The 15044-nt window shown below is 42.9% G+C and overlaps 1 long non-coding RNA gene across 1 annotated transcript in view; it reads right to left on the bottom strand.

Moving 5' to 3' along the window:
* The window catches only part of LINC01411 (long intergenic non-protein coding RNA 1411), a 190786-nt gene that overhangs the window by 85795 nt on the left and 89947 nt on the right, over window positions 1–15044 (bottom strand). The window contains exon 2 of the long non-coding RNA NR_125806.1: window positions 13595–13706. This is a non-coding gene — a long non-coding RNA (long intergenic non-protein coding RNA 1411). The remainder of the gene's footprint in view (window positions 1–13594; window positions 13707–15044) is intronic.

Raw genomic sequence — 15044 nt, 5'->3', positions numbered from 1 at the left:
GTCATCTGCAAACAGAGACGACTTCCTCTCTTCCTATTTGAATACCCTTTATTTCTTTCTCTTGCCTGATTGCCCTGGCCAGAATTCCAGTATCATGTTGAATAGGAGTGGTGAGAGAGGGCATCCTCTTGTACAGGTTTTCAAAGGGAATGCTTCCAGCTTTTGCCCATTCAGTATGATACTGGCTGTGGGTTTGTCCTAAATAGCTCTTATTATTTTGAGATATGTTCCAACAATACCTAGTTTACTGAGAGTTTTTAACATGAAGCAATGCTGAATTTTATCAAAGGCCTTTTCTGCATCTATTGAGATAATCATGTGGTTTTTGTCTTTGGTTCTGTTTATGTGATGGATTACGTTTATTGATTTGTATGTGTTGAACCAGCCTTGCATCCCAGACATGAAGCCAACTTGATCACGGTGGATAAGCTTTTTGATGTGCTGCTGGATTTGGTTTGCCAGTATTTTATTGAGGATTTTCTCATCGATGTTCATCAGGGATATTAGCCTGAAGTTTTCTTTTTTTGTTGTGTCTCTGCCAGGCTTTGATATCAGGATGATGCTGGCCTCATAAAAATGAGGTAGGGAAGAGTCTCTCCTTTTCAATTGTTTGGAATAGTTTTAGAAGGAATTGTGTCAGCTCCTGTTTGTATTTCTGGTGGAAATCAGCTATGAATCCATCTTGTCCTGGGCTTTTTTTTTGATGGGTAGGCTATTAATTACTGTCTCAATTTCAGAGCTTGTTATTTGTCTATTCAGGGATTCAACTTCTTCCTGGTTTAGCTTTGGTAGGGTGTATACATCCTGGAATTTATCCATTTCTTCTAGATGTTCTAGTTCATTTGCGTGGAGGTGTTTATGGTATTCTCTGATGGTAGTTTGTATTTCCGTGGGGTCAGTGGTTTTATCTCCTTTATCATTTTTTATTGTGTCGATTTGATTCTTCTCTCTCTTCTTTATTAGTCTGGCTAGAGGCCTATCTATTTTGTTAATTTTTTTCAAAAAACCAGCTCCTGGGTTCGTTGATTTTTTTTGGAGGGTTTTTCGTGTCTCTATCTCCTTCAATTCTTCTCTGATCTTAGTTATTTCTTGTCTTCTGCTAGCTTTTGGATTAGCTTGCTCTTGCCTCTCTAGCTCTTTTAATTGTGATGTTAGGGTGTCAATTTCAGATCTTTCCAGCTTTCTGATGTGGGCATTTAGTGCTATAAATTTCCCTCTTAACACTGCGTTAGCTCTGTCCCAGAGATTCTGGTATGTTATCTCTTTGCTCTCATTGGTTTCAAAGAACTTCTTGATTTCTGCCTTAATTTCATTATTTACCCAGGAGCTGTTTAGGAGCAGGTTGTTCAATTTCCATGTAATTGTGTGGTTTTGAGTAATTTTCTTCTTCTTTTTTTTTTTTAATTTTTATTTTTTGTTGAGACAGAGTCTCACTCTGTCACCCAGGCTGGAGTGCAGTGGCACAATCTTGGCTCACTGCAAGCTCTGCCTTCTGGGTTCACGCCATTCTCTTGCCTCAGCCTCCTGAGTAGCTGGGACTACAGGTGCCTGCCACCATGCCTGGCTAATTGTTTGTATTTTTTTTAGTAGAGACAGGGTTTCACCGTGATGGCCAGGATGGTCTTGATCTCCTGACCTCATGATCCGCCAGCCTCGGCCTCCCAAAGTGCTGGGATTACAGGTGTGAGCCACCATGCCCAGACTTGAGTAATTTTCTTAATCCTGAGTTTTGATTAATTTGATTGCATTGTGTTCTAAGAGACTGTTTATTATGATTTCAGTTCTTTTACATTTGCTGAGGAGTGTTTTACTTCCAATTATGTTGTTGATTTTAGAATAAGTGCCATGTGGCACTGAGAAGAACGTATATTCTGTTGATTGGGGGTAGAGGGTTCTACAGACGTCTACTAGGTCCACTTGATCCAGAGCTGAGTTAAAGTCCTGAATAAGCTTGTTAATTTTTTGTCTCATTGAATGGTCTAATACTGACAGTGGGATGTTAAAGTCTCCCACTATTATTGTGTGGGAGTCTAAGTCTCCTTGTAGGTCTCTAAGAACTTGTTTTATGAATCTGGGTGCTCCCGTATTGGGTGCATATATATTTAGAATAGTTAACTCTTCTTGTTGAATTGTTCCCTTTACCGTTATGAAATGCTCTTCATTGTCTTTTTGATCTTTGTTGGTTTAAAGTCTGTTTTGTCAGAGACTAGGATTGCCACCCCTGCTTTTTTTTTTTTCTTTCCATTTGCTTGGTAAATCCCTTTATTTTGAGCCTGTGTGTGTCTTTGCATGTAAGATGGGTCTCCTGAGTACACATTACACTGGTGGGTCTTGACCCCTTATCCAATTTGCCAGTCTGTGTCTTTTAATTGGGCATTTAGCCCATTTACATTTAAGGTTAATATTGTTATGTGTGAATTTGATCCTGTCATCATGATGCTATTTTACATACTAGTTGATGCAGTTTCTTCATAGTGTCATTGGTCTTTATATTTTGGTGCATTTTTGCAGTGGCTGGTACCAGTTTTTCCTTTCCATATTTAGTGCTTCTTTCAGGATCTCTTGTAGGGCAGGCCTGGTGTAACAAAATCCCTCGGCATTTGCTTGTCTGTAAAGGGTTTTTTATCTCCTTGGTTTATGAAGCTTAGTTTGGCTGGATATGAAATTCTGGGTTGAAAATTCTTTCTTTTAAGAATGTTGAATATTGTCCCCCAATCTCTTTTGGCTTGTAGAGTTTCTTCTGAGAGGTCCGCTGGTAGTCTGATGGGCTTCCCTTTGTAGGTGACCTGGCCTTTCTCTCTGGCTGTCCTTAACAGTTTTTCCTTCATTTCGAAGTTGGGGAATCTGATGATTATGTATCTTGGGGTTGATCTTCTCATGGAGTATCTTAATGGTGTTCTCTGTATTTCCTGAATTTGTATGTTGGCCTGTCTTGCTAGTTGGGGAAGTTCTCCCGGATACGATTCTGAAGTGTGTTTTCCAGTTTGTTTCGATTGTCCCCATCTCCTTCTTGTATTTCAATCAATCGTAGGTTCGGTCTTTTTATGAAGCCTTTTCTTAAAGGCTTTCTTCATTTCTTTTCGTTCTTTTTTCTCTATTCTTGTCTGCCTGTCTTATTTCAGTAAGGTGGTCTTCAATCTCTGATATCCTTTCTTCTGCTTGGTCAATTTCGCTGTTGATACTTGTGTATGCTTCACGAAGTTCTCGTGCTGTGTTTTTCAGTTCCATCAGGTCATTTATGTTCCTCTCTAAACTGGTTATTCTAGTTAGCAATTCCTCTAACATTTTGTCAAGGTTCTTAGTTTCTTTGCATTGGGTTAGAACATGCCCCTTTAGCTCAGCATAGTTTTTTATTACTCGTCTTCTGAAGCCTTCTTCTGTCAATTTGTCCATCTGATCTTCCATCCAGTTCTGCGTCCTTGATGGAGAGAGGTTGCAATTATTTGGAGGAGAAGAGGCACTCTGACCTTTTGGGTTTTCAGCATTTTTTTCATTTATTCTTTCTCATCTTTGTGAGTTTGTCTAGTTTCAGTCTTTGAGGCTGCTGACCCTTGGATGGGATTTTTGTGGGGGACTTTTTGTTGTTGCTGTTGATGCTGTAGTTGTTGCTTCCTGCTTGTTTGTTATTCTTTCAATAGTCAGGTCTCTCTTTTGTAGGGCTGCTGCAGTTTGCTGGGGGTTCACTTCAGGCCCTACTCATCTGAGTCACTCTTGTGCTTGGATATGCCACTTAAGGAGGCTGGAGAACAGCAAAGATGGGTGCCTGCTCCTTCCTCTGGGACCTCTGACCTCAAGGAGCACCAACCTGATGCCAGTAGGATCGCTCCTATATAGGGTGTCTGACAACCCCGGTTGGAGGGTCTCACCCAGTTGGGTGGCACAGGGAGCAGGACCCATTTAATGAAGTATTTTGTCCCTTGATGGAGGGGGTGTGCTTTGCTAGAGGCAAACCTACTCATCTGGGCTGCCTGGATTCCTCACAACTATCAGGAGGAGAGGCTAAGTCAGCTGGTCTGCAGAGACTGTGGCCACCCCTCCCACTAGAGGCTCAGGCCCAGGGAGATCTGAATATTGTCCCTGAGCCTCTGGTGGGAATTATTGGAGTTTCTGCAGAGAATCCCCTCCCAATGAGGAAGGATGGGTCAGGGTTAGGCCTGAAGAGGCGCTCTGGCCACAGACTGCCAGAGCCGGTGTGTTGTGCTGTGGGGACAAATCTTGGGACCAAGCTGTCCAGACTCCCTGGCTCCAGCAGGGGAAAAGCAGAGCCTGAAGCTATAGAAATGGGTGCTGCCCTTCCCCACCCCCAGGGAATTTAGTGTGTTAGGCAGTTGTGAGTCCCAGTGCTGGCTGCTGCCTCTCCCCGAAGGAGCTTAAACAACTTAGACAGTAGTCAGCCACAGCTGGTGCTGGTTGCCCCTCCCACTGGGAGTTTGGTAGGCTTGAGCAGATTCCAGCTGAGAGGCTTTAAAAATTTGCACGCTCTGGGGTTGGGATGCTAGGCCCCAGTGGCATGGTTTCACAAGTGGGATCTTCCGTCTGTGGGTTGCACAGTTCCGTGGAAAAAGCACAGTTTCCCCAGCTGGGTAGTGTGCTCACTCACCGCCTTCCTTGGCTGGGGGTGGGGGGGTTCCCCTGCCCTGTGTGGCTCTCAGGTAGGCCATCCCATCATACTGTTCTTCCTTCTCTCCATGGGTCATGCCATGGAGAGAAATCTAGTCAATTTTGATGAAAGAACCTGGATACCTTGGTTGCCGGTGAAGGATTCACAAACTTATTATGCTTTTTTTTTGTTTTTTTTTTCGGATGGGAGCCTCCAAACGCCACTGCTCCTAGTCGGCTGTCTTGTACCCGCCCCCAAATAATAATTTTCTAATCAAAGATAGATCTCATCTTGTAGGAAGCTTTATGCAGGGTTAAAGACAGGGTTTGTTTTCCTCCAAATTTTATGGTTTTTTTTTGGGGGGGGGAAAAGTGAGAGGAAATACTATGTAAAATGAAATAATTTTGAGGAAAGGGTAGAAGAGTGTAGCCCTCTTTGAACCCCACCCCCCCCCACAAAAAAACTCTCAAAATAAGCTTGTAATTCTTGCCTTCTAGAAAGTCTTGGATTCTGTAGCTAGGAAACATCCCTCAGCTGTGAGTTTAAATCAAATTCTGATTCAATTCAGGAAACCAGATGAGAGACAGAAACTGAAGAAGACCCTTCAACTTCAAGGGTCAATCCCACTGCGAATCACCTGGGAGAAAAGCCTTGCCTGGAATATCCAAACCCATGGATCTTCAGAGTCAGATATCTGTTTACAGCCTGATAGTATAAGAGAGGAACCAACTCCTAAAATGGAAAATACCCCAAACATTTGCAAAGCTCATTATTGACACTGCCTATTTAACTTTGTATATGTCAGTGATAGTATTATTGTTCACATGAACTCACCTGAGAAGTTTTATGAACACCCCAAGGATCAAAGGCCATCACAACAATTCAAATTAGTTGGCATATTTTGCAGTCCAACTTTGTCTTAGGCACCATGCTGGGCTGGGGCTAATTTTGTCTTTGCCTCAAAGAGATGAACAACCCAGTGGGGGATGAAGGTGAATATGTAACTAGAAACAAGTAATCATAATGCAGATAGGATGTTGAAATAAGAGCTGAAATTGTATAAATTTTATTTCCTTTTGTTTGTGTATATGTGTTCTAAGTATAATTTCAGAACCCAAATCAGGGTACACAAATGCAATTATTTGGAGGAGAAGAGGTACTCTTCTATATACTATCTATATACCCACTTTGGTTGGAAGAGGCAAGTTAAAAAATAAAATATTATTGGTATTTCTAAGGACATAGCTTAGGTTTATGGGCACTACTGAACAAACTATTTTAAATTGAGACCATCTGATAGATTTATTATAAATAAAACAGAGATGCATAAAGCAGCTGTAGGAAAATTTAGTCAACGAAATTCTTTCATAGAGCATTGCATTAATTTGGAAGAAATGTCTTGATATCTCGTTTGGGGTGGAGTTTGAGACTCTAAGGGAATGTTTAAGTAACAGATTTTAAGTTTCTAGGGAGAAACCTAAAGAGGAAAGAGAGGAGACAGTAAGTTAGGTGGCGTTATGAAGGAGAGAAAGAGACTCCTCACTGGCAGCAGAACTTCAAAGAAGAGAGAATCTGGAACTTTGAAGATGACTAATGGGTGTACATGATTCCTCCTTAGAATCCTCCAGAAAACACAGTAGGGACTTAGAAAATGCTTGATGCTTTGCTGTGGGAATCGGCTACAATACGCCCAGGGTGACCTGGGGGAAGGACAGTGGTGTGCAGTAGGACCAGGAGGTGAAACGTGACAGTAAGCCCTTGGAATCTAGAAAGATCGGAAGGACATGATGATGGGGTTTTGATGAAATACCACTTGATTCTCAAGAGCTGAGGCAAGCCTGGCTGACCTCTGAGCTAGGGGTGAAAACATGCATGCTATGCTTGGGAGGGAAAAGGAAGAGTTTGAGTCCACCTGAGCTGGAGCATTCCCTCTTCATGGGGGGAAATACATGCTAAGTATTCAAATTTATCCTCTAGAGTTCTCACTGTGGACAGGACGCAGTTGGCTGATGGATTCCATGACACATGAGCTTTTCCTTGTTCTTGAAAATCTTCACATAGCGGTGTCCCAGGAGCAGGGTTCTTAATTTAAGTACATAAATTTTTTTTTTTTTTGAAGCAGAGTCTTGCTTTCTCTCCCAGACTGGTGTGCAGTGGACATGGGCATGAACATGGCTCACTGCAGCCTCAACCTCCTGGACTCAAGTGATTCTCCTCCTGCCTCAGCCTCTCAAGTAGCTGGGACTATAGGTGCATGCCACCACACCCGGCTAACATTTTTATTTTTTGAGGAGACAAGGTTTTGCCATGTTGCCCAGGCTGGTCTTGAACTCTGGGGCTCAAGTGATCCTCCTGCCTTGGCCTCCTAAAGTGCTAGGATTATAGGCATAAGCCACTGCACACAGCCAAGTATATAGCTTTTTAAAGCAGGCATGCCTTTAAATGCAGCCATTCTACCCCTTAGAATTTATTTTCAGAAAACAACTGAGAATGCTCAAAATCTCAGCCATATGGTTATTCATCACTGTACTGTTTGTAAAATGAAAATGTTAGAAATAATCTAAATGACTAACAATGAGAGAACGGTTAAACAAATTATGACACCTGCATAAAATATAATATTGCATGGTCATTGAAAACCGTAATGTAGGGCTGTATTTATTGACACGGGGAAATGCCCACAATATAATATTACAGAAAAAATAACCACTCAAAATGCTAGAGGTATGGTCCCATTTGGAGTAAAAATGTAGTATATATAAATTGTTCTCCATAGAGAAAGGCTGAGAAAGAGACACACAGCAAGGTAAATGGTGATTACTTCAGGCTGGTGAGATTGGGGTGATATTTTACTTTATTCTTCATCATTTCCTGCATCATCTAAATGGTTTGTGCAATATGTATCTATTAAAATAATCACATGAATTCATAAAGCTATTTCCACGTCAGGACCAAACATCAAAACAAAAGCTTATGTATCACATAATACTGTTTTTTGTTAGATGTAAAAAAGTATGTATTTATATACATGGAAAGATGTGGGAAATAACACTCATCAGGTGTTAAGAGTTGTTACCTTTGAGTGGGTGGGATTATGGATGGTTTATAATTTATTATTTTGGCTTACTTGTATTTTGAAAATGTTCTACCATGGAAAAGTTGTGCTTATTTAACGGGCTGGGGGCAGGAAACCGACAGTGGAGGATTCCTCTCCGGGCTTCTCGTGTGGATTGGCCAGTCCTCTCTCGGATCTGCCACCTCCAAGATTCTCAAAGGAAGAAGGATGACATTGGAAAGTTCTAGGTTGAGCCCAGTTATCAAACCCAGATTCAGCCATAGGAACAGAAGGGGAAGGAAATGAGTATTTGAGCCCGAGGGCCTGGGTTTGAATCCTGACTCTGTCACTTTTTAGTTGCATGACTTAGGGCAAGTTATTTAACCCCTCTGTGCCTCAGTTTTCTCATCTGTAAAATGGGCATGATAATAGTTTCCCCTTCAGAGAGGCTAAGAGAAGATTTAACCAGCTCTGTCTATATTCTCCCAGGTTAAGTTACTTGCCCAAGGTCAGATAGCAGAGCCGAATGGATTCCAAAGGCTCCAAGTTCAATTCCCCTCTCTTCTCAGAAATGAGCCTTTTGTTTTTGTTTTAGTTTTAGTAGAGATAACTGAACCATTTATATGAAATCTTTGGAATATACAACACCATTCTTAATCCCTGTGTCATACCTTGGATATAATTTTTGTATTGTGTAAGGTTTTTATTTTCTTTTTTATATTTTTTAAATTATTATTTTATTTTTTATTTTTATATTTTAATAGTTTTGGGGAAACAGGTGGTGTTTGGTTATGTAAATAAGTTCTTTAGTGGTTATTTCAGAAATGAGCCTTTTGAACTGGAGTCCAGCAGTCATTTGTGGCCATATTTCCATTGCAAAAACCAGATTCCATAGAGGCATGAAGGAAATAATGGGGAAAACTGTCTCCCAGTGGCATTTAGCCGACCGTACGCATCTGGTCTTGAATGCCTCCATGCACCTCCAACCCTCTGATCCCTCTCACTCTTCTTATGCTTTGTGGCTTTGAGAAGTCCGGATGAGTTCTCTTACATTGGTGTGAATTTGGCCAAAAATAAAAAAAAAAAAGAAGAGAAATTTAAAAAGCAAAGAAAAGCACAAAAGATGCTGTTTGGGAGGAGATGTATGTTCTGAAGGGCCTGGTCCAGTCATGGCACCGAGGCTGCAGTGAGAAATAGTAAAGCTGGCACTTCTGCAAGAAGCTGGCCACTGTCAGCCCGGCTGGTAGCATGGAGATGGAACCATGACATCTGCCACAGTGTGTTCAAAGCACTTTCTCTCCAGCCCTCCCTGGACACCCAGCAATTCCTCACTCATCCCTAGGGTTGCATCTCCTCAGGAGGACAATGGAAGGAGCTTGAGGGATGACAAAGGATGGGTTTTATTTCCACTCTAATATTCTAGATTAAAATCTAGAAATGAGTGAGAACTGGCTCAAGTGGACCTAGAATCAGTGGATGACCCTGAATCCACACAGTGCTCTGCGTGGCCTTTCAAACCTTAGCTGTGGGTCGTGTCATTCCACCTTCCAAGGGTGAAAAATCTCCATGCTGCCTGCAAGAAGATGGCGGGGTGAGAGTTAACAGGGAGAAGAACAGGCTCCCTGGGGACAAACCTGACTGCACTTCCTGCCGCTGGGACCTGTGCTAGTTGTGGTTAAAAGCTTGGAGTCTGGGGTGATCCCAGGGTTGGAACCCTTGCTCCACCGCTCATCCCCGAAGATCCATCTAAGCTTCAGAGTCCTCATCAGTAAAACGAGGGTGATAGTAACAGCACAGTACTTCACGCAGCTGCAGCAAAGCGGGAATGGGCTATTGCAGGTAAGGCCACTTCACGGTCCCAAGCACTCAAAAAACAAGCACTGTTATTATTCAGTTAACTTCCCTGTGCCTCATTTGCCTTATCTTTAAAATGGCTGTAATAACGCTGCCTTCATGAAGGTGTCCTAAGGGCTCAATGAGACAATAACCGTTGCAGATGACTCATCAACACTAAATTTCTCTTCTATTAGCCAGGCTTATCTCAAGAAATTGCTCCCAACTGTGGGCGGTAGTCTGGAACTAACCTTGTGAAAGCCTCTGGCACACAGTAGGTATTTAATTTAAAAAGTAACAGCAAGTTCTTGGCTGTGTCTGCGCAGGCCAGATAAATGATAGAGCTTTCTGGAAACAGGTAAACTAGTTATTTCATGCAAAACAAAGAAGCAAATGTCCATGATTCTTTCCTCAACAACAGCGTGCAGGACCCTAAATTATCCAAAGAATCCTGCTGAATCTCTGGTTTCTGTCTTCTTAAGTTAAACCCAAATCAACCCAGCACAGGAAGAAACAGCCACCCCAAGGGTGAGTCTTTGGGTAGCTGCGATACAGTGGTTCAGGGTCATACACGCCCCAGAACCAGCTGGGGGTTGTGTGTGACATTTATAGCAGCTCAATCATGGAACTCAAAGATAATTCCCCAAGGCACCCCCAGACCTAGATCTGGAGAAAGCCACCTTGGCTGCACCTGTGCTATAGCAGGTGGATGTGGGCTGGCTGCAGCTCAGCTTCCTTCCTGGGGCCCTCCCAGCTCTACCAGGGAGCTGCATGCCAAGGCCAGGGGCAGTAACTTTGCTTCAGTGTGAGGCAGCCCGACATGCTTGTTACAAGCATTTACTGATCTCCTGTTGTTCCCAGGCACTGAGCAGGGCCCTAGAAAGAATACAAATGATGATAACTAACTTTATTGTATTCTGTGTACCAGGCTCTGTGCTAAATACTTTCTTTTTTAAAAAATAATTTTTTAAAAATAGACACGGGGTCTTGCCGTGTTGCCAGGCTGGTCTCAAACTCCTGGGATCAAGTCACCTGCCTGGCTTAGCCTCCCAATGTGCTGGGACTACAGGCATGAGCCACCATACCCGACCACTAGACACTTTTCAAAGGGTAGCCTCTTTCATTACCACCATCATCCTTGGTGATGGTCTGGACTGAGCAAGCTCTAGTTCACAGATGGAGAACTAAGCCAAACAAATGCCCCCATCCCCACACCTCCCCTAGAGCCTGGGGACCAGCCTCCATGATCAAGGTGAAGTTTGTGAGCATGACATTCAAGGCCTTCTCTTCCAGCTTCATTTGCATGTTCATGGGTGCTGTGTCTACGGGAACACTTGGCAGTTTCCACAAGCCCTTGACTGTCTCCCACTCTGCCTTTGTGCATTAGCTCTCCCTGTCTGGAATGTTCTTCCCCTGAATTCCTACTTGTCTTACATTAAGAGTTAGTATGTGAGGGCATCTTGTACAGCCCAGGCACTTTATCCACAAAACAACCCTGTGATTTAAGCATTTTGATACCCATTTTACGGAATAGGAAAGTGAGGTACTGAAAAGGGAAGCAACTAACAACAGGGTCACAGAGCCAGGAAGAGGCAGAGCTGGGATTTGAACTCACAGAAGTTGGACTTTGGAGGTCATAGTCTTTTCTACACCACAACGTACTTCTCCTTGGCTCAGGAATCTCCTTCTCTGAGAAGCCCTCCCCGACCTCTCCTGCTGGGTTAAATACAGGAATGTGCCAGAGCCTGCCCTTACTGGCCTACAAGAGCCAATTATTAAATTGTCAGGAATTTTGCAAGCTGGTTGTTAAATACAGCAATTATTAAAGATTAAATTATAAAAACTTATAATTAAGTAAATTGTATTAAAAACACAGCTCGTAAATACTCAAAACTCATCACTTCCTAATTATTTTATTAGATTTTACTATTATCTAATGCTCTTAAGATTATTTACCTCCATCACAGCTGTACAATGGAAATTGTATATAATAGTATGCTACTGTGCCTCTCTCAATGACATCTCATTGGTAACTTTGAAATTGGCCACGATTGGAGTATTTATACCATGGAAATTGGCAAATGCTGGAAATCAGAGCTTAGTTTATTGTTGTGTTGATTATCTAGACTTTAAAAAATGATGAAAAAAAGTATTAGCAATGCAGATTAAACTTCAAGTGTGTCCTGTCTGTAGTTATTACATTGTGAAAATCTCCCCAAAATTGAAGAACTAGTCTTCCAGTACAGTCACGCATTGCTTAATGATGGGAAATGATGGGAGTACATTCTGAGAAATGCATTCATTGGGTGAGTCTGTCGTTGTGAGAGCATTGTAGAGTGTACTTACACAAGCCTAGAGGGGACAGCCGACTATACGTCTAGACTATATGGCCTATTGATCCTAGGCTATAACCCTGTAAAGCGTGTTACTGTCCGGAATACTGCAGGCAATCATAATACAATGGTGAGTATTTGTGCATCGAACATAGCTAAACATAGAAAAGATAGAGTAATAACATGGCATTATCATCTTACGGGACCTCTGCCATATATGCAGTCCAACTGAAACATTGTTAGGCAACACATGACTGTCTTTGAAAACTGTTACCCAATTTAGCGAAGAAATTCCTCGCGTCATTGATGAACAAGTGGGGTTCCAACAGAGTCTTTGTTCTTTTACTTTTATCTTGTGAATGCAAATGAAAATATAGTGTCAGAACTACACTCAGAGAGCTAGTGGTTAAGCACTCAACCACAGACCACTGGCCAGGTGCTCCCCGCCGTGGCTACCAGACCCACTGTTTCTCTCCAACTCCTCAGTCTCCTCTGGAGAACAGGGTTGAATCTCTTTCTTTTTTGTATCCCCAGTTCTTGGAGTAGGCACTCAATCATGGTTGAATAAACAAACAAATGCATGAGTGCCCGGATAGATAAAGAACTAACCCTATCTCCAGCCATCCTTCCCAGGAAAGACTTTCTTAAAATATTCATTTATGCGAGTTTTAGTCCTTTATTGCATGCTGCTGACTGTCTGCCATGCACCAGTTGAGTTAATAAGAACTCCGATGGCTTGGGCCCATCACTTAAAGAACACTAGAAGGGATAGCTTAAAAACATTCTAGACGCAAGGGTTCATTCTCATGTCCATGTTCAAAACAGCACCCAAATCCATCTATTACTGAAGGAAACACAAAGTCATTAACCCCACAATCCTCCCTCAACCCCAAAGGCAACAGAGGACTCTCAGGAGGAGCTGGTGGAGCTCCGTAGAGTGATGTGGTCATGTCCAGGGCTGAGGAGCTATAGTCCATAGAGAAACGTGGTGGTGTTTTTGATTTTCCACAAACGCCTTTAAACGTAATCTCATTCCTGATGACAAGACGCAGGCAGTTTTCCTGTAAGAATAGCTAATTTCTAGTGTCCAAACCATGACCGAGTACTTGGGAGTGCCACCCTAGATCTGCTAAGGCAGAAAGGAGAAAGAATGGCTCATAATAATTTACAGCAGGCTGGGCGCGGTGGCTCATGTCTGTAATCCCAGCACTTTGGGAGACGGAGGCGGGCAGATCATTTGAGGTCAGGAGTTTGAGACCAGCCTGGCCAACATGGTGAAACCTCATCTCTACTAAAAATAGAAAAATTAGCCAGGCGTGGTGGTGGGTGCCTGTAATCCCAGCTACTCAGGAGGCTGAGGGAGGAGAATCGCTTGAACCTGGGAGGAGGAGGTTGCAGTGAGCCAAGATCGCACCACTGGACTCCAGCCCTCCAGCCTGGGTAACGGAATTAGACTCCATCTCAAAAGAAAAAAAAAAAAAACCACCAAAAACCAAACAAACAAAAGACTTACAACACAGGCTTAGAGGATCAGAAACAGCCACCAACATTCCTGATGTTTCTTTCGACAGAGGACCCCTGTAAACCCTCACTTTCCTCTTCCCCTTCCTGGATGCACACAACTGGAACTTCAAGGCCATCTTAGCAGATAAACAACGTAACATGTATCCCACTATATGATTAATACAAAGATAGGTGGTCTTAAACTTACTAACGAATAATTAGTCACCAAATGAATTAGAGCAAAGAGCAACCATGAGCACGTTAAGTCACCTGTCAAAGCTGGTTGTGTTTATGTATTGGAGGTGGGCCCTTTCCCAGGGCCAACCAGGTATGATATCGGGTGCAGCAGCCTCAGAACCTCTTCGAACATATGTTTCTTTCCCTTAAAAAGAAGAGAAGAACAGGGGAAATTCAATTGCTTCAACTTGAAAGTCAGTGCTAAGGGAGGCATTAGGAAAATCTTTCTTGTGGCTCAGCGCCCTGATTACCACAATTAAAGTCCAAGGTGTGGTGCCATTTGCTCAGCATGCTCTGGCACATGAAAGAAAATGATTCAGGCAAGGAAAATAATTACACATTAATTTGTGTTTGGCAACTGTGTTTTATTCCCTTGGCCCACAAAGCAAAGATAAAAGGTGATATTGTTGAAAGTGTTTTATCTGCCTTCAATGGGTTGCCATGGGCTGCACTGAGACGAGCTTTTTGGGTCGGGCATTTTCCTGACATGGTGGGCCGGCCTTTTATGCTCCGTTGCTGTGGCCAGCCAGGAAAGGTGTAGTGACAGCTAATAAGCTGTTTACTGCCCTGGCCCCTTTGTGTTTGCGGGGTTCCCATGGATCTGGCCAAGTGGAGAGGAACAGTGACCCTCTAGGGTAAAAGTTCCAGTCTCCATCCAAGGAGCACTCATCCTGCATCATGGTACCGCAAAGAGGCCACCTAGCAAGGGACATGAACCCAACCACCTCTGGAGACAAGCAGAGGATGTCCAGGAGCCAAGCTGCACAGGCAGGCAGGGTTGTGAACAGCTGGCTGTGCCAGGAAGGAATACAGGCCCCACGTGGCCAAACCGCCTGGTATCTTGGAAAGAAAAATAAGGAAATCTGTATTTGGAAAAGTACAGTCTCAAATTTTGAATGTGGGCTTCATTAAAAATATAAGAAAGCATGTCTGTGGGCCACAGCTGGCTTATTGGCCACCAGTTTGAACCTCTGCAGAATAGCACGGAGGTTAAGCGCTAGCTTCTAAAGTCAGACAGACCAAGGTTCTAAGCTCAGTTCCATCCCTCCCAGCTGGGTGACTGTGGACAAGTTATTTAATCTCTCTAAGCCTGGGTTTCCTGTTTGTAGAATAGAGACAATAACAATTATACCTCCCTCCAAGAGTTATTGTAGGGATTAAATGAGATAATGCAGGCAAGTTCTTTGCACAATCCCTGGCAAATAGTGAGCTGAATAAATGTCAGTGATTATAGCTATTTATAATTGAACCCCTGGGTGAAGCATCATGGGAGGATAAAAGAATAATCATTGCCCCAGGCTTTTTGTTGAATATGCAGTTTGTGACACAAAAGCTGCTCTATAGATAACGACATAGCCACTAAATATGTGAGTGAGTGAGTGAGTGAGTGAGTGAGCGAGTGAGTGAGTGAGTGAATTAATGTTCCATCTTCTCTTTCTGGCATCCTTCTCTTTCTGGCATCCGTTGTTGTGTTTGTGCCAAT

This window comes from Homo sapiens, chromosome 5 (genome assembly GCF_000001405.40).
Source record: "Homo sapiens chromosome 5, GRCh38.p14 Primary Assembly".
Lineage (NCBI taxonomy): Eukaryota > Metazoa > Chordata > Mammalia > Primates > Hominidae > Homo > Homo sapiens.
This window is presented reverse-complemented; position numbering and strand designations above follow the sequence as displayed.